Genomic DNA, 24,950 nt, shown 5'->3' with positions numbered 1-24,950 from the left:
TCTCGATTCCTTAGGCCCTAGAGGGAGTGCATCCTCTGGCTGTAGCAGGATGGTATTGCTATGTTTGGCCTAAATAGTTTGGCATTATCTTTTAATTACTGGGTAGCAGAGTGTTTTAGAACCTCTGGTGAAGGTAGTTTTCTTCACCAGCCACGTTGCCTGGATTGAGGCTAAGTGTAAATACCCAGTTAATAGCAGTGAATAGGAATAAATTGTATAGCAATAGAAGGCTAAGAAATAGTCCTTGGTTTTCTGGAGGTTGACCTCACCACCATAAGTAAATAACGTTGGTGGCAGAAGGACAGAGCTCCAGTAAGATGTGTCAGTGCAGGAAGCCTGGAAAGACCTTGGCAAGCCTGGAGTTGGGACAGATTGGAGTGTCTGCCTGCTCAGAAGTGTGAGCCACATGGAACACATCACACCTGTGCGACACAATCTGTCCTAGCTGCCCACTGTTTCCAAAACAGTGATTTTTCTGGTTTAGGTGAATTATACATTTAATACGTTGACGTGTGGCTACTGATGGTATAAAAGCAATACTGAACATTTGGTCTTAGATTTAATTAACCTCTTAGGGATGGGAGTAGCAAGCTTAGTTGCTTATGCTTTTAAGAGGAGCAAGCATGCACCCTTCCTCTGATGTCTTGGGGCTTTTGGACATTTTCCCCAGGACTCTGAGAAATCCTTTATGAATTGAGTTTTTATTAGTCACCTGTTGTACATTAGGACATCTCATGCTTCTGCTTAGCTCTTGCTGATTAGAAAGAACTTTGCAGTGTCTAGCACATAGTAGGCCCTTGGATAGTATTTTTAGAATTATTATTTCCCATAGATTGGATGTAATCATTTTAGGATGCTCCATTTCCAGTTCTTATCATTCTTTCCCTTTGAATTTACATTGATCTGATGGGTATGAATTATAAATCAGTTCATATTCTTTGGCATAATGCCAAGAGTATTTATTTTAAAATGTTAATTTCCCATTTTTTTTCTATTTTCCCATGCTTGTTTTATCAACTTTGTTCATGTTGCTTGATTCTCCTTGGCATAATTTTTGCCATTTTGAAGATATTTTTCTGAAGCTTCTAAGTATGTTGTTGGCAGGGGTGGTCTGGTGAGTGATGAGAGGTAGGAGGGTGATGGGGTGGTTCTAGGGAATATGCTATGAGTTTCTGAAATAGGGTCTCAGACAGCTTCTCATTTCCCTAATTGAGTCCCAAAGCCTTAAGTCTTGTAAATAAGTCTGTGAAAATAATTAATTGGGCAAATTGGAATATCTTTTTCACAGAGAGATTAATTTATATGCCTCCCACTACTTTTTGATGTGTCGGTTTCTCCACTCAACAGTTTGCTGTTAGGAAAACCCAGACCACTGGTAGTGTTAATCCTTGTTAGCAACAGAGGAGGAGACGGGGAGTGAAGGCAAGGGTGATACTGTCAAGCCAGGGGAAGTTCCAGATTATCATTGATTTTCTATACCCTGTGGTCACATTCAATTGAGTAATTGCAAGTTAGTTTGGGGCACTATAAGATGAAATTAATGTTAATTTTGACAGCTGGATAGTATAATAAGAATTTCTCTTTTATGTTTTCTATTAAACTCTTGAATTTTAATCTGTGTGTATTTTTGTCTATCCTCATTTAGGATTATAACTGGGTAACTTACTTTTTTTGTAAATGCTTCAGTTAAAAGTAAGGAGGGATTGGTACAGATTAAGGATAAAAATGCTGCTGCTCGTGTTAGTTCTATCCTCTTATCTGAAATTTGGCCAATCTTCATAGCTTTGAATTCGGTTTATTACAGAGGCTGGGAATAGCCACAAATGAGTATAATTGGGCTTTGATTTCACTTTAATTGATTGATTAATTCCTTGGAGTCCTGTTACTATTTCAGCTCACTCTGATACGTGGATGGTGGTACTGGATCCTATGAAGCCTGGAGGACCTTTCGAAGTGATGGCACAACAGACTTTGGAGAAAATAAACTTCACCCTGAGAGTTCATGACGTCCTGTTTGGAGATGTCTGGCTCTGTAGTGGGCAGAGTAACATGCAGATGACTGTGTTACAGGTAATTTGCAGAGTCTCAGCAATAATACACAGTGTTGGTGATGAAGAAGGAAAAGAAGGAGGAATAAGGGGGCAACAAGGAGAAGCAGGGCTGTTTCTATTTAGTGAGTACCATGAGCCAAGATATGTTCTAAATGCTTTGAATGAATTCATTAATTTGACTTAACAATCTTAAGAGATAAGCTATTGATTAAATTGGTAGTTATTGATTGGTGCTAATGTATTCTATATAGGTTAAGAACTTAGAAGGAGTATTGTTTTCTCTAGCACTTTCTCCAAAACTGAGTTTCTTCTCAAGTTGATTTTTATTTTCTTGCTTTTTTTTTTTTTTCTTTTTTGAGACGGAGTTTCTCTCTTGTTGCCCAGGCTGGGGTGCAATGGTGCAATCTCAGCTCACTGCAACCTCCACCTCCCGGGTTCAAGCGATTCTCCTGCCTCAGCCTCCCAAGTAGCTGGGATTACAGGCATCTGCCACTATGCCTGGCTAATTTTTGTATTTTTAGTACAGACGGGGTTTCGCCATGTTGGCCAGGTTTGTCTCGAACTCCTGACCTCAGATGATGCACCCGCCTTGGCCTCCCAAAGTGCTGGGATTACAGGCCTGAGCTACTGAGCCCGGCCTGTTTTCTTGCCTTTTAATCATTCCTTTGAGAAATATTAAATTTGAGATGTAAACCTGTATAGAACTAGACCGTTAACTCAATTCATCTCTTTTTGAAAAATTTATGAAATACAATATGTTTGTATACTCTATGATTTATTGTTTTGCTTCTGTTTCTTAGTTTTTTCTATTTTTTTCTTTTTGTAGTCTTCTACTAAATAATGCTACTAAAATGATCTTACTCTGAACATATCTACTTCATTTCATCATTAGTTTTCTGATTTAGAATTTAAATTCTTGCATTGAAGTCTTCCTTATCAACATTTTATTTACTCTTACATTCTGTCTTATTTATATATACGGAAGCCCCCCCCCCCCCTTTTTTTTTTTTAAAGAGATAAGGTCCTTCTCTGTCACCCAGGCTGAAGTGCAGTGGTATGATCATAGCTCACTGCAGCCTAGAACTCCTGGGCTCAAGGGATCCTCCTGCCTCAGCCTCCTGGGTAGCTGGGATTGCAGGTGTGAGCCACCATATCCAGCTGATTTTTTATTTTTTATAGAGATAGGGTCTTGCTATGTTACCCATGCTGGGCTTTTTGAATTAAAATGTTTATTAAACTGAACTTTGGACTCTTTTAGCATAAGAGAGTAGAAGCAGAATCAAAGTTTTATTTCTTGATAGAAAGGATGGTTTTGTGTAGAAGCAGAATTGCTGTTAACTCATTAAGGAAAACAGTATTTTTCTTAATGCTGTAATTGCAGTTCCCTGTTTGCACAGAAAGGCATGGACCAGATCTGTTTGTATCTATATAGTCGCTTTCTCAACAGCAGTCTATGCCAGGGGATTCCATCCCATTTTCTGTCAAGCTAAATTAGATTTTGATTGTTAAGAGTAAACATATTTTCTCTGCCTAGAATTTACCCCTGAGCATCTTCTGTATAAAGCTAGGTCTCTAAGCTCTGAGATATAGGGGAACAGAAAAAAATTCTGTCTGAAACATCCAAGTGTTAATATTTATTTTTTATTTTTGTTTAAATCATGCACTTAGTTTGCAAGATAACATTTTAGATGCTGACAGTACCAAAAGCCAAGTTTCTAGTCTCTTAACAGTCTATGGAACCTTGTTTTTTGATTAAAAGAATGTTCTACATGGCTTTCTGTTTATTCCTTTTGCTCCTTTCCTCCTACAAACCCCCAACACACACACATACATCACACACACACACACACATACACACACGAGTCTTTCTCCTTCCCTCCTTCCATGTGACTTCTCTGAGGAGGTAAGAGTTCCACTATAACCTACCACTCTTCACATTCAAATCAAGGAAATGGCAGATTGTGTGCCCATCTTGTTGTTAGGGTAAAGTGGAATTTTAAAATTGAGTGTTATTTATAACGCTGAGTGAGATGTTTATAAATGGAGAAGAGTCTAAATGTTCATCTGTCGCCTCCTAAGTCAGGGTAGGTCTTAAGATTTGGATATTTCTAGTTATGCTCAGAAAAAGATGGCCAATATCCATCAGGAAACCCATTTTTCAATATCTCAGAACTCCCCACATTCCTACTTTACAAATAGAGAAATTAAGATCCAGAAGAGAAGGGCTGGTACCACATTCCAACAAAAGATTCACAGGACTTATGAGGCTGGCTTTTTTTTTTTTAATAGTTATCTCCTCAATTTTAGAACTGCTACCATAGTAGAAGGTAAAGTAACTTAGAGCATTTCCAAATTCTTTTAAGTAAATAAAGTTTCTGTCCTTCTGTGTGTGTGTGTGTGTGTGTGCACAGACACACACTCACACGCATGCTTTGCTCCCCTATGCAGACCCCATGCCAAGATTCTCTGAGGAAATAGATTCTTGACGTGTCTTCATTAATTCAAGAATGTGGTATAAAGGTTACAAAATGAACACCAGTGAGCAGCTGCTTTGATGGTGAACGGTCCAGTCCCTAGAGAGGCAGCGGTGCTCTCTCCCAGCGTCTGTGGTGTTAATGACTTCAAATACCTTGGTATTCATTTACATCCTCATTTAAATACTTGGTAAAAAAATAATAACACTGCAGTGTTTGATGAGATGAAATCTGATCTCAGCAGATGGAGTAAGGTTTCCCCTTTCATCAGCAGGGAAACCAAATGTCATTTAAATGAAAATCTTCCTGCAATCTCTTTATTCCTAAGTTTGCTGCACATATCCCCGAGGAAATGCTTTCATCAAAAAGGCCTAGTTATTGGGGAAGGATACCAATTTCTGAAGTAATTGTCATTATGTTGTCAGGTACAGAAGGAATGGTCCCCACCCCCATTTTTGCTGACACTCTCTGTGGCTTTCAAGTTTGGGCTTGAAATTACACACAAATGTGAATTTGAAAATGGAAGTTTTCCAGTCAATGTTTTGGATCCACTTCCGTGTGCTGGTATCAATATAGGAGAATGCCAACCATTCTGACTCTATTGGCCTCACAGTACTCTACAGTGTTAGCAACGGGTCTAAAAGACAAGTAGCATGTTCTCTCATACTGCCTCCCAAGCTGGCGTCTCACTGTGATGAAGCACTTGAGTTCCCAGTCAGTGCGGAAGCTAGTGTGGGTGGAGAGAATGAAAGCAGTTTCATCCACTGTTTCCATGGAAGCAACATAGGATCCTGAGTGCTTAGTGCAGAACTGAATTCCAAAGGAGGCGGCTTTTTACAGGTACTTGCTGCTGAAAAATAATTTCCCTGCCAGATACACTGTGAGTGCATTAGCCTGTTCTTACTCCTTCGTGTTTACTTTACATTAACCTGCCAGGTATGATCCTGAACAAACAGGTCTGGATTTCCTGTGGAATTTTCTTGAGACCATGTGTAACCTGTCCTGAGAATGGGAAGACCAGTCAGTAATCCTGACAGCCTAGAGCTGCCACCACCAAGGGAGCATTTCAGGTTGTGGCTCCCACTGTGATCAAAAGAGCTATCTCATTTCCATCTGGCCATCTTATTGGGCACAGCCGGCTCAGTGGCAAGTCCAGAGAGATTCAAGGGGCAGCATCTTTCAGAGTTTCTCTTACGCTGTGGCTGGAGGGCCAGCTGTATTCTCTGTGGTGGGTGGGTGGGGGTGGAAAGCGAGCCAGCTGCACACTCTGTGACCAGCGGCCAATGGAACGTACCCGGCCTCCTGTGCCTCTCACTGCTGTGGCAGCCCCGACTCAGCTGGAGCGCCTGCTCCCTGAGGCAAGCGGTAACTGGGCTTCCTGATGCTCCCGTTGGCCCTTTGTTTTGGGAGAAGCTGGGCCAGTCCAGGGGGATAGAAAGGACTCAAGAAGAAATACACAAATAAAAAAAAACAAAAACAAAATATTTCTGATATATTTGTTTTAAAATAAAAAAATAACTAAAAAGTCAGGATGAGAGGAAATAGCACTTGTGCATAAGTTCATAGAGGAATGATGCTTTACTGGACTAACAAAGAAGGAACTGAGTGTAGCATACACATTCTTTTCCAGAAAACCCTAAGCCACTCCTCTCATACTCCTGACAATTGATGAGGTTTAATACAGTGATTTGGGAAAATATGATTTATCTTTGGAGGGACCCTCTTCTTTAATTCCTTGGGACTGTTCTGAGCTGTTACCCTGAACACCACCTTTCTAGTCTCCATGCCTCTCTTGCTTTTCTTTGGTGATTTACCAAGACCAAGATGAGGATACTGTCAGCCTGTGGTATCCACCAGTTCCACATGTGCAGATTCAACCAGCCATGGATATAAAATATTTGAAAAATAAAAATTAAAAGTGGCAATACAACAATAAATAATACACATTGAAAAAACAATACATACGGGTTGAGTATCCTTTTTCTGAAGTTGCTTGAGATTGGAAGTGTTTCAGATTTTGGATTTTTTTTTGGATTTTGCAATATTTGCATAGACATAATGAGATATCTTGGGGACGGGACCCGAGTCTAAACCTGAAATTCATTTATGTTTCCTATATACCTTATGCACATAGCCTGAAGGTAATTTTGTACAATATTTTTAAATAATTTTGTGCATGAAACAAAATTTGTCTGAAGTATTTATGTGTGGAATTTTCCACTTGTTGACATCATGTTGGCACACCAAAAATTTTGGATTTGGGGGCATTTTGGATTTTGGATTTTCAGATTAGGGTTGCTTAACATATATAATAAATATTTACATAGCATTTACATTGCATTAGGTATAAGTAATATAGAGATACAGGAGGATGTTTGTAGGCTATAAACAAATATGCCATTTTGTATAAGGGACTTGAACATCTTCAGATTTTGATGTGCTGGGGTTTGGTGTGGGGGGGTGTGGTTCCTGGAACCAATGCCCTGTGGACATGAAGGATAACTGTATATGCATTTTGAGACTTATTCCAGTATGTTTCAGTACTTCAACTATGTTTCAGTAGTTCAACAGTCATGTCTGAGCTGTGTTTCTTTTAAGCATGCTTCTCTTGTGTGGTATGGATTAGACAAATCTACCTCCCCACGGCCTTTTTGGTTCCACATAATATCCTAAGCACCATTTTAAAAAGAAGTTAATTGGCTGGGTGCGGTGGCTCACACCTGTAATCCCAGCACTCTGGGAGGCCAAGGCAGGCGGATCACGAGGTCTGGAGATTGAGACCATCCGGGCTAACACGGTGAAACCCCGTCTCTACTAAAAATATAAAAAATTAGCTGGGCATGGTGGTGGGCGCCTGTAGTTCCAGCTACTCGGGAGGCTGAGGCAGGAGAATGGTGTGAACCTGGGAGGCGGAGCTTGCAGTGAGCTGAGATTGGCCACTACACTCCAGCCTGGGCGAGAGAGCAAGACTGTCTCACACACAAAAAAAAAAAAAAAAGAAGAAGTTAATTGGTCTGGTTTTGTGTTATGAGATACTTTTTCAGAGTAGAAATATTTCAGTTTCAAGGTATCAGAGTGTTGTAAGTGCTGGGCAATATTCTTTAGCCTCAGCTACTTCACGGCTCCTCTTGTCTAACATAGACCTGCTCCTTAAGATCACAGATTTCATTATATTTCTACCCTCTTTGGGAACATGATTCATCCTGGTCTCTTTTGGTAAAAGTGGATCAAGGTGATTCAGTGCAGCCCATTGGTTTTGGTTATTAATTTGATCTCAGTATATTGAAAGCTCAGGAGCTCAGAGGACTGATGTTTACTAAGAGGTGTCAGGCTAGTTCACCACCTGCTAGGTTAAATGACGTTTCAATTTCTTTTCCAGATATTTAATGCTACAAGGGAGTTGTCTAACACTGCGGCATATCAGTCTGTCCGCATCCTCTCTGTCTCTCCCATTCAAGCAGAGCAGGAGCTGGAGGACCTTGTTGCGGTTGACTTGCAGTGGTCTAAGCCCACCTCAGGTATGTGACGGCTTGAACGTGCTGTCTCTTATATAATGGGTTAGCGCCCTAAGTGGAATCTGTAAGACTGAATTTGGTTCTTATGTGTCTATTTATTATTACTCATGCCTTTTATTCCTTTCTTATTGACTCTTCATCCTTCCTGATGGTGACTATTTCAGGTTTCTTCCCAAGACTACCAACAAATCTTCCCTCTTGCTGTGGGGAAATGAGTCTTCCTTCAACATCTTCAGTGAAAATATCAAGGCCCTTCGGCATGGGCTCCGCCAGCATCTCTCGCCGATGCCTTCACTCCAAATCCTCTCTTCTTTCTTCCCTTGTCTCTGTGTCTGTAGACAACTGGTCTCTTTTCAGGGCTAACTCTGATTTGGGTTCTCCTTTCTCCAGAGCCTTCTTTAATCCCTTAGGCACTGTGGTTTTCCCCTCAGTCCATTCAGCATGAGCTCTCCATTTCTTTTTTTTCTTTTTCTTTTTTTTGAGACGGAGTCTCAGTCTGTCGCTCAGGCTGGAATGCAGTGGTGTGATCTTGGCTCACCTGCAACCTCCGCCTCCTGGGTTCAAGTGATTCCCCTGCCTCAGCCTCCCGAGTAGCTGGGACTATAGGCACCAGCCACCACGCTCAGCTAATTTTTGTATTTGTAGTAGAGATGGGGTTTCACCATATTGGCCAGGCTGGTCTCGAACTCCTGACCTCATGATCCGCCCACCTCGGCCTCCCAAAGTGCTGGGATTACAGGCGTGAGCCACTGCACCCGGCCACTCTCCATTTCATGACTGCTTTGTGTCAGGATCTGTGCCAGGCCCCAGGGATACAGCAGTGACCAAACGGACACACAGTCCCTGCTCTCTGAGCTTAGCCTTTCTTCTATTCTCACAAAATAAAACAAAACAAAACAACAGTAAACATCGCAAACACCCTTCACAGATGCTTCATCTTTCTCCTTTGCTTTGTTAAACCTTTCTAGAACGTCTTCTGTTTTCATTCTTTTCACTGCCTTTCCCTGTGTTCACTCTTCAGCCCTTTGTCACCTGGCTTCTGCTTCCACCTCAACAATTTGTTCACCTTGATGTTACTATCATTCTTCTAATGATAAACCTAGAGACCTTTGCCGCATTCAGCACTGCGGACCACCCCCTTTAGAAACTGCATGTCCCTCCTTGCTTGCCTGGTACTTTCTTTTCCTACTTCTCCTCCTCTGTCTTCTCTGTCCCTTTTTCTTTGCTTCTTCATTCCCTTCCCTCAGAGGTGGTCCCTGTGTTCCCCCTGGACTTTTTCTTTTTCTCCTGTGCATGCTTTCCTTGGTGCTCAGATGCTCCTACATTTATAAGTAGTAATTCACTTAACAAATATTTGAGTGTCTACTATGTGCTCGACACTGTTCTAAGTGCTGGGGATATTGTAGTGAGTAAAACAGGCAAGAATACCTGACCTCATGGAGCTTACAGTCTAGTGTAAGGGAACTCTGAAAGTGAATCATAAAATAAGCAAATTATAGACAAAGTATCTGATGCTATCCAGTCTTACACTATCCGAACTCTCCCTATAAAAGAGCTCAGGAACTGAATGGATTCAGGTAAATTTTTGGATGAATCCTTTGCTCTATGAACTCTTACTACATGGTATCCAAAACTCAGGACTCAATCAAATTTGGATAATGTATTATGCCTTGTTATCTGAACTTGTTTTCACTTTGTGAAATCAGAAACTGAATGAATAAATGTGGATATCACAGGATAGGTTAATGGGTGACGTGCTAATGAGACAAAAACAAATAAATATATCAGGGAAGGGAGGCAATAGGAAGTGTTCGTGCTGGGATGGGGAAAGGCAACATTTCAGTAGCAGCCTGAAAGAGGCGAGGCAATTCAGATACCTAGGAAGGGCACAGAGGATCCATCTCTCCCACGTTGAGAATCTCTCCTGCCTGCTGTGCTCTTCCCCCTTTTTTTTTTTTTTTTTTTTGACCGAGTCTCACTCTGTTACCCAGGCTAGAGTGCAGTGATGTGATCTTGGCTCACTGCAACCTCCACCTCCCAGCTTCAAGTGATTCTTCTGCCTCAGCCTCCCGAGTAGCTGGGATTACAGGTGTGCCCCACCACGCCCAGCTAATATTTGTATTTTAGTAGAGACGGGGTTTCACTATGTTGGCCAGGCTGGTCTGGGACTCCTGGCCTCAAGTGATCCATGATCTGCCTGCCTCACACTCCCAAAGTGCTGGGATTACAGGCGTGAGCCACCGCGCCCGGTCTCCTGCCTCTTCTGTCATCACATCACTGCTGCTGGGAAAGGTTTTCTGATTTTAAGGACTCTTGTAATTAGATTGGACGCACCTAGATGAGCCAGGACACTCTCTCCATCTCAAGGTCCCTAACCTTAATCACATCTACAAAGTGCCTTTCGCCATGCAAGGTAACACAGCCACAGGTTCCAGGGATGAGTGTGTCGACGTCTTTGGGGTCTGTTATTTTGCCTACACCCCACATTCTCATTCTCAAGCATTTTCAAGTGGGTTTCCATTTTCTTTACTCCAAGATGTGGCTCTAACCTCCCCTCCAGTCTTATCTTCCACTGTTCTCTTTTATAATCTCTGCTCCAGCCAAATACTCTCAGAATATTTCCTATTCTGTGTGCCTTTTCACGTATTTTTTCTTCTGCCTTGAGTGCCAGCTCTGTCTGTTAAACTCCTGTTGCTGGTTTAAGGCTTCTCCAGCTCTCTTCTTCCCTCCTGTTTACCACTCCCCTCTACCTACTGTCAGTGAAACCACAGCCACCCTCAATCAGTCAGCAAACACTGACTCTCCATCATGTCCTGGACGCTGGGGATACAGACGTGAATCAGGTGAAGTCTCTGCTAATAGTGTAGTGAGCTAAGGGAAACACTGAACAGATGGTTATTGCAAGGTCTAGTGATGGAGCGATGCACAGAGTGTCGTGGAAGCACGGTGCGGGGCGGGGAGGTCAGTGTTTATTAGGCCTTTTAGGATCTGCCTCTCATTTGATATTCTTTCTTTGTGTTAAAACTCCTTAATACTTGTTTGTACTTACCATCTTTTGCCATATATTTTATTCAACTAAATACTTGTCTTACTCTTTTTTTTTTTTTTTTGAGACGGAGTCTTGCTCTGTCGCCCAGGCTGGAGTGCAGTGGCACGATCTCAGCTCACTGCAACCTCCGCCTCCCAGGTTCAAGCGATTCTTCTGCCTCAGCCTCCTAGGCAGCTGGGATTAAAGGTGTGCGCCACCACACCCAGCTAATTTTTTTGTATTTTTAGTAGAGATGGGGTTTCACCACGTTGGTCAGGCTGGTCTCGAACTCCTGACCTCATGATCTGCCTGCTTCAGCCTCCCAAAGTGCTGGGATTACAGGCATGAGCCACCATGCCCAGCCCTACTTGCCTTATTCTATCAACTAATAGACCTATGAGGAGAGGTTCCATGTGTCTCTATATTGCTTTCATCACTGTCTCCCATCCATCTAGTAGTTCCTGATACATGGTAGGTGCTCTGTCCATTTAATTATTTTGGAATTGATTTGAATCCTCACTATTGCACTGTCTACTTTTGGAGTGCCAGTGACTTAGCCATAGTCAGTCTTTAATAAACCTTGGGCTGAACTGATCCCATCCTTGTGTGTACATGCATGCCCCCCTCTTCACCAGCTTTCTTCTAACATGAAATTGCTCACTCTTGCCTCTGTTGGTTACTGGGCAGTGTAATTGGATGAATGAATTAGACTGTGCTGAGAATTTAAACACTAGTTTTGGCTTCTGTGGCTTTCCCTTTGGGCCGAATTTCCCATCACTTATCTGTCCATGTTTTCTTTACCATAGCTATTTATTTTTATTTTTTGACTTTTATTTTATTTATTATTTATTTTTTTGAGACAGAGTTTTGCTCTTGTTGCCCAGGCTGGTGTGCAATGGCACGATCTCAGCTCACTGCAACCTATGCCTCCCAGGTTCAAGCGATTCTCCTGCCTCAGCCTCCCGAGTAGCTGGGATTACAGGTGCCCACCACCACGCCCAGCTAATATTTGTATTTTGGGTAGAGACGGGGTTTCATCATATTGGCCAGGCTGGTCTCGAACTCCTGACCTCAGATGATCCACCTGCCTCATTCTCTCAAAGTGCTGGGATTATAGGTGTGAGCCACTGCGCCCAGCCTCTTTAGCATAGCTATAAAATTGGGTATAAAGCCACCAGAAAAAAGAAGAAATACACATTTCTTCTTAAGTTGCCCCCTCCTTGCTTTTTCCCTTCCACAGAGCTAAGTGGGAATGAGTGGCTGAGTAAGAGGGGAGACACAGAAGAGAGTAGCATGGGGACATGATGGCCCTCCCACCTCTCACCTATTTGAGGGAGAGCATTGATTATCCGAGAGTCTGCAGATCCTGTAAGTGATGGGAAGCATGGGGAAGCCTATTGCCTAGCCAGAGTTTTAACTTCCATGTTATGTAAGTGAATTATTTATAATCAGACTGAGAGCAAAATCGCTATCATATCTGCCTCTCTCCCAGGCAGAGAGAGCTATTTCCTTGTTATGAGAACAAGCATTTTGAGTAACTGAAAAAACATGAAGACAGATAAAAGGAAACTATCACTAAGGTTACAGTTTTCTCCCTTGGAAAAGATTCTCCTTAGGGAAGGTTTGGAAGAGATAATAGTGTTCAGACCAGCATATTGGTCTTGATGCTGTATCTTCTCTGTGCCTCTCAATCTTATCCTACTTTTGAAAGTCTTAGAAAACAACAGAAGAATGACCTCTGCCCACCCTTCTCACCTCGACCCACCTAGCAGCTGCAGTTTGTATCCATCAACCTTTCTCTGGCTCTTTTTCTTTAACCATTTCTCTGAACAGAAAACTTAGGCCATGGATATTTCAAGTACATGTCAGCAGTGTGCTGGCTCTTTGGACGTCACCTTTATGACACTCTGCAGTATCCCATCGGGCTGATCGCCTCCAGCTGGGGCGGGACACCCATTGAAGCCTGGTCATCTGGACGGTCACTGAAAGCCTGTGGGGTCCCTAAACAAGGGTAAGACAGCATTCTCCAGTCTGAGAAAGAGCCTACCAGGGAATTATGCAAGAGAGAGGGTCATCGTCCTCTGTGGGGAGTTAAGTATATGGTGAATGTCCCAATATGTGTTGAATGTATGTAATTTATTCATGTAGAGGGAAAGCATTATTTTCACTGTCACTGCCACCACAATCGTTTGAGAACATGTAAAAAAAAAGTATCTTTTCCCCCAGTAATAGTAATAGCTAGTGGTTACTGAAAGCTTTTTATATGCCAGACACTGTGCTAAGCACTTTATATATATAAATTATGAATATATTGAATATATATTATTATATATTAATATATTGAAGTGTAGATATTAAAGACCATGGGTGAAGACACTACATTTCAGAGAGACTTAGTAACTTGCTCATGAGCATGACTAGTAAGTGGCAAGTCTGGCTTCAGTGTCTGTGCACCTAACCATTGTGCTGTATTGCCTAGAAGAATAAACAATCCAACAGGAAGAACAAATGTTATAAACATGTACTCAAAGAAATGTATCAGTATACTGATTATGAACACCTGCTTAGGAAAGGCTGGATCAGGAAGAATACTTGGGGAGGGAAAGGGCTAGTGAATACAAATCCCGATACTAACATCAATGTAGAGATGAGCAGTATGTGACTTGCTTTCATGGACCATGTCTCATTCACGCTGGGAAGCCCTGTGGGAGGAGGATGGGCTTGAGCTCTGGGTATAGTTTGGGTAAAAGCTTGCCTGTGGGGGAGTGAAGATATTCAACTTTGGAACAGGAAGAATGGCCTGCAGTAGAGTAGGAGTGAGCGTTAGACCAGATCTCTGGGGGTGGAAGGGATAATCCCGAGGGTGTGGGCAAGTGGGCTTCTCACACGCAGCAGCTACAGGATAAATTCATATAAATATTCTACAGAGAAATTTGAGAACGTGTTCAGAGCCTTAAAAAAGATGCCCTTTGACACAGCAGTTTCATTTCTGGGAATTTATCTTATGGATATAGTTAAGCATGTATGCAATGACTTAGCTATAAGGAAGATGATCTTGGCATTCCATATAAAAGCAAAAAGTTTAAAACAACCTAAATGTCTGTGCATTAAATAAAGGTTTATTTAATAAAAGTTAGGTAAATTTATTGGCCCCCCCCCACAATGTGAGAAACTCAACAATAAAGCACTCCTTCCCTGTGGCTTTAATTACCTTAGAAATTACCTTTAATTACCATAGAAAGCTGACCGATACACTTATTTTGGGAATAACCTGGAGGTGAAATTCAGAGAATATTCATATGTTTTCAAGAAAAAGAGTTTCGATTCAATTTTAATTCTGTGTTGCTTTCATCAGAAGTTTACCACAAGTGAAAGTGGATAGATGACCAATTAGGGACCCTTATGTGATCAATCACTGGCTCTCTGGTGACACTTGTGCATCATATGATTTCAGGTCCATTCCATACGATTCTGTAACTGGTCCCAGTAAGCACTCTGTTCTCTGGAATGCCATGATCCATCCACTGTGCAATATGACTCTGAAAGGGGTAGTATGGTACCAGGGTAAGTGTTCAGTGTACTCTTTCTCCATTGTATCAGATAGCGTTTGCTGTATAACACAGCACCCTAGAACGTAGTGGCTTAAAGCAACAATAACTTTATAATTTTATTCAGCTCACTGTTCTGTGGGTGAGCAGGGTAGTTTTTATGTCTGGGCTGCTTCAGCTAATTCCTGCTGGGACCTCTTATGTGTCTTTGGCCACCTGGCAGATTGTCTGGTGGCTGGATGACCTAGGATGGTCTCTCCCTAGATGTATTGTCTGGGGGCTGTTGCAACATGGTTCTGAGGTGACCTCTTATCCTTCAGCAAGCCAGTATAGACTCATTTATTATTTATATAATAGTCTCAGGATTCCAGGGTCATCAGGAGAGGACAGAGCCCAAACCTGAAGTACTTTTCAAGCCTCTGTTCGTACCACATTTGCTGATGCCCCACTGGCTGGAAAAAGACCAGTCCAGAGAGACCGTGGGAAGACCACTACCTCAGGGCATGGATGGAGGGAGGAGAGTAATGTGTGGTCATTTTTGCAGTCTACTCCAAACTCCCTTTACAATTTGGACTGTTTTTAGGGGAGTCCAATATAAATTATAACACGGATCTGTACAATTGCACATTCCCTGCACTCATCGAAGACTGGCGTGAAACCTTCCACCGTGGTTCCCAGGGGCAGACGGAGCGTTTCTTCCCATTTGGACTTGTCCAGGTACGATGTGGGTAAAGGCTTCTCTGTTCATGTCAACACCTGTTCCTGTGTTGAGAGGAAGAGGTTTATGGGCATTGGTGTGGGGATGTGCTATTTGGATCTCTTTCCTGGATTTCATCTTCCTTTTTTGTCCTCATAATGTGCTGGTCAAGAACTGAATGTAAGGCTTACTTCATCTCAGTTCACTGATAGGACAATTAAATCTTCAAAAAAAGTTGATAAGTAACTAATATTTCTTATTTAAAAAGCATTACAGTTTCATTGAGGAAATATTAAAAAGATAAGCAAAAAAGAAGCTAAAAAAGTTGATAATTTTCCAATCCAAAAATAAGCAGCTGTCTTCTGCTCATTTATTTTTGAAATAGATCTGTACTATATCTTGCATTTTTCTCTAAAAGTAATATTTCAATTAGAGATAAGTAGTAAACGATTTTTCATGTCAATAAATATTAATCTTCAATGCAGTTTGTAATGATTGTAGAGCCTGAAATATGGTTACATTGTAGTTTATTTAACTAGCTGTCTATAGATTGGGCATTTCGGTTGTTTTAAACGTTTTGCTTTAATAAGCTTTGGCATGTTTATTTTCCTTGTTGCTAAATCACTGCATATATGCTTGATTATTTCCCTAAGGTAAATTCCCAGAAATGAAATTTCTGGTTCAAAAGGTACACCTTTGTAAGGCTTTGAACATGTCCCCAGATTTCTCTGAAGAAATTCATGAATTTGTATAAATTTATGCTCTTAACAACTGTCTGTGAGAATGTCCATTTCCCCACCCCCTCCCCAACTTGGTGTTATCCCTTCCACTCCCTGGAATCCACCGTGCTCTCTCACTCCCTGGCCATTGCACTTGCTCCTTGCCTTCCATACTTTCCTAGTTAACTTTAATCATCCTTTAGGTCCCAGACAGCCTACATATTAGTTAGGAAGCCTTCTGTGACTATCCAGATTAGTTAGATGCCCCCTTTCTCTCTACTTCCCCTTTTTATTTGCATGAGGTTGCCTACATGACTACATTTTCCTGGGTCACACTTAACATCCCTAGTACGTATGTAGTTGATTGGCACTCGTTAAATAGTGGCTTAACATGTGAATGAAAAAAGATAGCAAGAGAAACCATACATTTAATTAGAGATAACTAGTCAGAAAGATTCTGCTTTCAGCCTTGCATAAAAAGAATAAACATATTTGACCAAGTTCATAATTGCCTAGCCTCCACATGTTCATATGAACTACACTTTTTAGCACGGTGGTAGTGCTGGTTTTTCTAGAACATAAGAAATCAAACAAGTAAGGTGATATAAAAACAATGCCCATCTTAAAACATGACAACAGAGTAGGCTTTCCTGTGTAAATGGGACATCCATGGTCCCAGACACCACCTCCGCACGCCCCACAGATGACTTCTCACCATCCTCCCCACTCCCCTACCTTGTCCTTTTCACTGTACCTTCTTTTGAATATTTGTATAGACCTTCTCACTTAAAATGCCTTTATGATTATTTTCTTTCTTCTTTCCTGCATTTGTTCTGACTTTGAAATAAGATTATTCTGCTCATTATTTTCAAAGTAGCAGCTCCTGTCACCAGTTCTGCATCCCTGTTGGTGGAAACTACACTTGGGCTTTGGAAGTACTTTTTTCTCCCTTGGCCTGTGCACATGGTGATTTGAGTATGACTTTAGCCAACTCAAACCAAAAGTATGTGTTGAATGCTTATTATATGCTGTGAATCTTGTGAGGTGCTAGAAATATAGCAATCAGGCCGGGCTTGGTGGCTCACGCTTGTAATCCCAGCACTCTGGGAGGCCGAGGTGGGCGGATCACCTGAGGTCGGGAGTTCGAGACCAGCCTGACCAACATGGAGAAGCCCCGTCTCTACTAAAAATACAAAATTAGTCGGGTGTGGTGGCGCATCCCTGTAATCCCAGCTACTCTGGAGGCTGAGGCAGGAGAATCGCTTGAACCCAGGAGGCGTAGATTGTGGTGAGCATTGCACTCAGCCTGGGCAATAAGAGCGAAACTCCGTCTCAAAAAAAAAAAAGAAATATAGCAATCAGAAAGACCTGATTCTTGTACTTATGCCTTACAGTTTAGTGAAAGTCCCTTAACCTCCAGGTTTTAACTTTATTATCACCAACAAAAACATGCTGGTTACTAGTGGAAGTCTGGAAATATAAACATATCCCTTCAAAGGGAAATACCCAGCATGACAGCGTCATGGTTCAGACTGAGTCTGAGCTAGACTAAGTGCATTCAGATGCTAGCTGTGACACCTCCTGAGCCACGTGATTTCGAACACGATACTGAACTCTTTGTTATTTTAAATATTGAATGAGTTCATCCATGGAAAGCCGGGAACATACCAGATAATGTTAGTGTTGAATATTGTTGATGAGAGAAATCAGAAGATCTGGAGGGACAGTTGGTCTGTAAGGAAAGAGGAACTGGCTTCATAGAAGTGCTAAGTTTGAAATGATGGTTGCAGTGACTAGAGTACAGCTAGAGATGGAGGATGTGAGTTCCACGGAGAGACCAGGGCTGGACACGTGTATCCCAGACTTATTAGCAGAAAGGCCACCTGGAGCCTGAGAGCGAAACAGCAAGAGGCTAGGGGCTGGAGTCCCAAGGAGTGTGGTTTTTAAATAGGGATTTGGAGGAACAGTTGAACAGACCACAAACTGCAGCATGTTATTTGTGAGCGTGGCCAGCTTTATATTCTTTGGCTGGTCCACGCCTTTATTAGCCGCAGTATTTCTACCAGCCACTGTGGGAGACGGATTAGCGCCCCACTGTATCTCAGATTAGGAAAACAGGAATTTCATGTGGGTGTGGAGTACGCCGGTGCCCCCATGTGGCGAGTATATAATAGTGCAGTCAATGAAAAAGTGAATTGCTGCAAGAATTCTCAGCAAACTGCCATTTTGAGAAAATTCCCTTGACTTGAGGGACTGTTATTAGCATTGCTCCCTGTTGAGCTTCAGGCTAGTTTTTTTTTTTTTTTTTTTTTCTCACCACAGACTCTTTCCTGTGGCGTTGTTACTGTGATCTTCATTATGACCCTGGCTGGTGCACATGGTTCCACTTTGTCTTCTGGGTGTGGAAGAAGTAGGGTGACTTAATAGATTTTTTATTCCCATTTTCTAGTCTTCATGAGATTCTACTGTGAGGCTTCAGTGGCACCTTCTATCATTTCCTATGTTAAAGCTGATTTGCCTAAGATAATTTTAATAAGAGAATTGTAAATGGCCTATTGGTTCCATATCATATCCAAGGCTCCTTTCTGTTATTATTGCAACCTCTCCGTGTACTCCTGATGATTTTCTCATCTTTCTGGAGCAACTCAGAGAGCAGAAAATATCCTCGATTCAAAGTTGCATTTGGCCACATTCATAGGGATGATGTCAGGTATTTTCTGGGCTGTGAGTAATAAGGCTGGGTGGAACAGTCTGTGTAAAATGCAGTCCTCTGATGGGGTCAGACATTTTGAAATGGAGTCAAAAAAAAATGTTGTTGCTGGCCCAGACTGCTTCCCAGTTTGTGGTTTGACTTACAGTTAGATCATGGTTTGTAAAAGAGAGATAATAGGTTGATGCCTCTCATTGGCTGGAACTGGAGCTAAGAATAAGATGCTATCTAAATCAAAGGACAGGGTGATGTAAACATCAGAAAAAGAAGGAAGAAATAGCTGGACTGCCTGTGTCATAGTAATAGTAAAGATTTTTTTCTCTGGGAGCCTGTGTGTTTTGCAGGAGTAGGAGTGTATCAACTTTCCGTTTAGATGAAAACAAATCCTGTTAACTCACTCTGCATTCAGAATCTGACCACTTCTCACTACCTTTACTCCTCCTGCGCTAGTCTAAGCCACCATCATCTCTCCCTTGTATTATTGCCTCCTAACTGGTCTTCTTCCTGCTTTTACCTTTTTTTCTCCTCCTGTAGGATATTCTCAATATATCAAAGTGACTCTTTGAAGTGTAAGTCGGGTCGGAAGGCTCCAGTGGGTCCCCGTGTGCTGAGGTCAGCAAGGCCATACATGATGTGCCCCCTGCCCACATTACCCGCCGACCTCACCTTCTAATTCTCTCTGCCTTGCATATGCCACTCCAGCCACACTGGCTGCCTTACTTTTCTTTAAGCACGCTAGGCATACTCCCGTCCTGGGGCCTGCCATTTTCTTTTCCATTCTTCATGGAAAGTTCTTTTCCTGCTGTTTTAGTTTTCTATTGCTGAGTAAGAAATGACTGCATATTTAGCAGCTTAAAACAATACAACACACATTTATTATCTCAGTTTCTATGGGTGAGAAGTCTGGGCGTGCATGGCTTAGCTGGATCTTCTGCTGAGGGTGGAAGTGAAGGTGTCAGACAGAGCTGGAGTCTCATCTGAGGCTTGGAGTTCTCCTCCAAGTTCATGTGGTTGTCGGCAGAATTCACCTCCTTGAAGCTGTAGAACTCATGGCAGCTTACTTCTTGAAGGCCAGCAGGGGAGGGGGCCTGGCTTCTAGACCCTCTTTGAAAGGACTCACCTGATTAGGTCAGGCTCACCATGATACTCTCCCTTTTGATCAATGTGAAGTCAGCTGACTGGGGACGTTACTTGTAACATCTGCAAAATCCCTTCACTTTTGCCATATACAACATAATCACAGGAGTGATATCCCATTACCTTTGCCATAGCCTATTGGTTAGAATCAAATTACGAGTTCCCCCTACCACAAAGAGGAGAGTATTGTATAAGGATGCGGCTCCCTGTGGGTCATCCGCCTAACATACCCAGATATCCTCATAGCTTCTTTGCGCATCTCCTTCTAGTCTTCATTCAACTCTGACACTCTCTCCTCCTTCCCTATTATATTTTTCTCCAGTGCACTTGTCACTTTCTCATAGGATATGTAGTTTACAGATCTATCTTGTTATTCATTCTCTCTTTCCACTAGGGTATAAGAATGGGAAGGGATTCTTGTGTTTTGTTCACTGCTCTATCTCCTAGGCCAGTATTAGTGCATGACACAGAGTAGGTGCTCAGTAAATATTTGTTAAAAGCATGAATAAATACATGAGCTGACTGATAATACATGAGCTGTGGATCCTTCACAGGCTCTTTCTGGAACAATATTATTCCCCAAATATTCTGGTGCTACTTGGATGCCTGAGATGCCACACAGTTAATTCAGATGCCGTGGCTTCCGAATGATGGATTTTACCCTTCCTCTTGTTCTCCATATCCAGTTGGTTGCCTGGTTTTGTCAGTTTTTATTATTTCTCATCATCCCGTTCTACTACTATCTCTGTAGATTAGATCTTTGTTTTTGTGTCTAGAATATTATAATAGCTGCTTAACTAATCTGTCTCTCTGCGTTAAGTCCTTTATTTTGGTTTCTTTTTTTTTTTTTTTTTTTTTTGAGATGGAGTCTTGCCCGGTTGCCCAGGCTGGAGTGCAGTGGCACAATCTTGGCTCACTGCAACCTCCGCCTCCTGGGTTCAAGTGATTCTCCTGCCTCAGCCTCCCGAGTAGCTGGGATTACAGGCATCTGCAACCACTCCCGGCTAATTTTTTGTATTGTTAGTAGAGAAGGGGTTTCATCATTTTGGCCAGGCTGGTCTTGAACTCCTGACCTCAGGTGATCCACCCACCTCGGCCTCCCAAAATGCTGGGATTATAAGCGTGAGCCACCATGCCCGGCCTTATTTTGTTTTTTGCCAGAGCCATTTGTATGATCACTAGAACAATCTTTTGAAATGGTCCTTTGATCATGTCAGTAATTTCAGTGGCTCTGTAATTTCTTAATTGAGGTGAAAGTCATATAACATGCAATTGAGTTCAGTAGCACGTTAGCACATTCACGATGTCGTGCAGCTATCACCTCTACAGAGGTTCTTTATTGTTTAATACAAAAGAATCAACTATACAAACACTTGCCTTGCTATCTTTCCAACTTTGCCTTTCCTTCACAAATCCTCCAGTCCACCTGGATTGCCCCTCTCTCAGAACGACCATTCTCCTCCCCACCTTTGCATCTTACATGCTTCTAACATGTGAAGTGTGAGCAGTACTGCCTGTAGTGACTTCTCATATTTTTGATGCCCATTTGTTTTAATGAATTCTGAGACCACGTTTTCCTATAATAATAATCTTTGCCTGTTCTAAATGTTTAGTACTTGCTGTCTGTGGCACTCATTTAACATTTAATCCATACTATTTTATATGTTTATGAAACATAAACCCATTCAATCCTTATGTTTATTTCTTATGTGTAGGTCTGTCCTCCTCAACAAAGCTGTAAAGTACTTGTACCAGTTAGCTACTGCTGTGTAACAAACTACCTCAAAACCCCCGGCCTAAAATAGCCTTTCTTATATAGGTAGCTCTTGTCTGGGGAGCTGGGGTTTGGGTGATTTGGCTAAGCTGCAGATCTTTGGGCTCTTTCAGACCTCTGTGGGTCAGCAGGGGCGCTCTTGTCCTTCTCCAGGGAGCAGCAGGCTAGCCCAGGCACGTCCTTCTTATGGCGATAGCAGCAGTGCAAATGAGCAAGTGGAGCCATGCAGAGTCACTTAGGCTAGGAAGTGACACACCATACTTTCTGCTTCTGTTGATTGGTCAAAGCAAACCACATGGCTGAGCTTAGAATCAAGGGTTTGGGAAACATACTTGTCCTGTTAACGGGAGGAACTGCAAATCCACATGGCAAGAGGGTGTGGATATAGGAGGGAGTGAAGAATTGGGGTCACTGATGCAATTTAGCACATGCTCAAGGGCAGATTCTTCTCTGCTTGCCTACAGTGCCTAGCCCTGTGTTGTATACAGATGTATCAGTTATCTATTGCTTTGTAACAAGCTACCCCAAAACTTAGGGGCTTAAACCATCAGCCATATTTTTTGCTCATGATTCATTGGGTTGGCCAGGTAGGGCTCACCTGGGATGGCTCATTTCTGCCCTACATGATACCAGCTAGGCTTGCTTATGTGGCTGCAATTTTAACTGGAGGATCTAGAAATCCATATGACTGGCCCTTATCTGTGATTGCTGGAACACTAGAGCCTCTCTTTCTATGATCTTTCAATTTCCAAGGCCCCTCTCACTCCATAATCTCTCCAGCAGGGTAACTGGATGGTGTTTACATGACCAGCTCAGGGTTTCAAGAGAATGAATTCAGAAGGCAAGGCCTCATAAGGCCAAGACTCAGGAGCTGTACAACATCAATTCTCCTGCATTCTATGGGTCAAAGCAAATCCTAGATTCAAAGGGAAGAGAAACAGACCCCGCTGCTTGATGAGAGGTGTGGCAAAGTTGCACTGCAAGAGGGCACATGGGATGAGAGGGACTGTTGCAGCTGTCTTTGGAGAGACACTGCCACAACAGTAAGAAGCTCAGTAAATACGTGTTGAATGAGCATTTAAATGCAATGAGAGAAGCAGAAGCAGAGTCTGCCAGTGAAAAAGACTCCAGTGTGGGATTCTGATACAATAAAATTAGCAATGTCTCTGCTTTCTAGTTATCTTCAGATTTGTCTAAGAAGAGCTCAGACGATGGATTTCCCCAGATCCGTTGGCATCAAACAGCAGACTTCGGCTATGTCCCCAACCCAAAGATGCCCAATACTTTCATGGCTGTAGCTATGGATCTCTGTGATAGAGACTCGCCTTTTGGCAGGTATGATTGCTTCTTGGGCTTTGCATGAACAGTGTATGTTCTTTGTAGTCTTTCACTCTGATGTTCACCGGTGAGGGGCAATTAGACTGAGGATTGGCACTTAAGAGTCACGTATGCTGGGGTGTGCTGCAGTAACAACAGCAAACACCCTCAACATCTCAGTTCTCTGATGCACCAACAATTTATTTCTTGGTCACTCTCTCTGTTAAAAGAAGGTCAACAGAGACTTTGCTCACTGTAATCATTCATAGACCCAGAGCAATAGAGGCTCCAAGTTGACCTATGCTTCCATAGTCATCTTAAAGTGTCACACTGGCAATTCAGTGCTTCCACACAAGTCATTTCTGCTCACATTGCACTGGCCAAACCAAGTCATAAGGCTACGGTTAACTTCAGTGGCAGCAGGAAATGGAATTCCAGCATTCCTCTGGCCTCACAGGAGGAATACTGAGATACCTGTGATCAGCCCCAGGGAACACCACACACTAACTGTAGGATGTGAGGGGATTCCACATAGGAAACAGAGTCCAACACACAGTGTCTGGATTATAGGAGGAACTTGATTGATTTATTGAATAAATGAATAAAAGCTCTAGGGGACCAAATAATGAATCAGCTGATTCCAAAGAAACCTGACTTTTAGTGGTTAGGAACAATCTTATGAGTTAGCTCTCTTAGGTTAGTTCTGGTATCTTTCCTTCTTCCATGTCTCCCTCCCTCCTCCCAACCTGCCCTTTATTCCTTCCTTCCAAGTCATCTATTATTTCAAGGTTTCCAACCCATAGAAGGCCCAGAGCCCCATCTATGGTTACCATTCACCATTTCCCTTGAGCTGACTAGCCACTGATCACAGAGTTCAGTCAACTTTATTCTTACTTTCATAAAGGGTGCTTTGTATAATCCCCCTTTTAAAAAAATGTGGTGATTGTTGAGCTTAAACCCAAAGTTCTCTACTTGTTCCTTATCCTGTAGCATCCACCCTCGAGATAAACAGACTGTGGCTTATCGGCTGCATTTGGGGGCCCGTGCTCTGGCTTATGGTGAGAAGAATTTGACCTTTGAAGGACCACTGCCTGAGAAGATAGAACTCTTGGCTCACAAGGGGCTGCTCAATCTCACATATTACCAGCAAATCCAGGTGCAGAAAAAGGACAACAAGATATTTGAGGTGAGAAGAACAGCAGAATAAACAGGGGTTCATTTTGTGGTGGAGTCAAGATTTCCTCCGCACTTGAGGCCATCTCTTTTGTTATTACGATGTGGCGGGTCTTGGTTGGTTGGGGGCTGAGCTTATTTCAGAGCTGCAAATAAACAGCTGTTAATTCAGTAGCTTGGAGGCACTTTTGACAGACAGCACAATCGAGAAAGGGAAAACAAGTCCATATTAAAATGGACTTTAAAAAATTTTTAATTTCCTTTTACATTTTCTCTGCCGAAGCAACCATCTTTGCTAGGGCAGGGCCTGCAGCTTTATTTGTAGGTTACCTATTGAAGGATCCTTGCTCCAGAATATTTACCCCATCCTTGGGTGTATTTTTTGTTACACTCTCCTAAATCCTGACATTTTCTGAGTTTAGGTTCTCCTTTGAGAGGCTTATTCTTAGGTATTTGTAACTTAGTGTGACAATATAATGAGAGTCCTTTTAATACCTAGCAGGGGTCATTCTGCTGTGGAACTGGGGCCATTGATGAAAGATTATTCAGGAGTCTTCGATATTTGAGGGTGGGAGATGGAGGCATTCCTACATGGAACATTTAAATGAGTGACTTTGGGAATCATGAGGCCTTAGGTTGGGAAGGGGTGTGTGAAAAGAATGCATTGGAGAAGAGAAAAGAATATTAAAGGCAAACTTTAACTACACGGGAGTTTGTCTAGGGCTGCTATTTCTGAAGTCCTAACTACGGTATCCACCTGCCTCAGATGCTTGGTTGGCACTTACCCCACTTAGCTTCTTTCCACAC

General features: G+C 42.3%; 1 protein-coding gene across 4 annotated transcripts in view; it reads left to right on the top strand.

Moving 5' to 3' along the window:
* Positions 1–24,950, top strand: part of SIAE (sialic acid acetylesterase) — a 43,191-nt gene that overhangs the window by 13,606 nt on the left and 4,635 nt on the right. For 2 of the 4 annotated variants that reach the window (NM_001199922.2, NM_170601.5), the window contains 7 exons: positions 1,895–2,070; positions 7,905–8,043; positions 12,902–13,079; positions 14,523–14,632; positions 15,200–15,333; positions 22,831–22,988; positions 23,961–24,156. In NM_001199922.2, coding sequence (NP_001186851.1) covers positions 1,895–2,070; positions 7,905–8,043; positions 12,902–13,079; positions 14,523–14,632; positions 15,200–15,333; positions 22,831–22,988; positions 23,961–24,156 — 1,091 coding nt within the window. Of the gene's footprint in view, positions 1–1,894; positions 2,071–7,904; positions 8,044–8,204; positions 10,884–12,901; positions 13,080–14,522; positions 14,633–15,199; positions 15,334–22,830; positions 22,989–23,960; positions 24,157–24,950 lie in introns of those variants that run through there. The other 2 variants (XM_047427132.1, XM_047427133.1) reach the window with 2 other exon arrangements.

This window comes from Homo sapiens, chromosome 11, assembly GCF_000001405.40.
Source record: "Homo sapiens chromosome 11, GRCh38.p14 Primary Assembly".
NCBI lineage: Eukaryota > Metazoa > Chordata > Mammalia > Primates > Hominidae > Homo > Homo sapiens.
The sequence above is the reverse complement of the archived record's forward strand: the minus strand, read 5'-3'. Positions and strand labels throughout refer to the sequence as shown.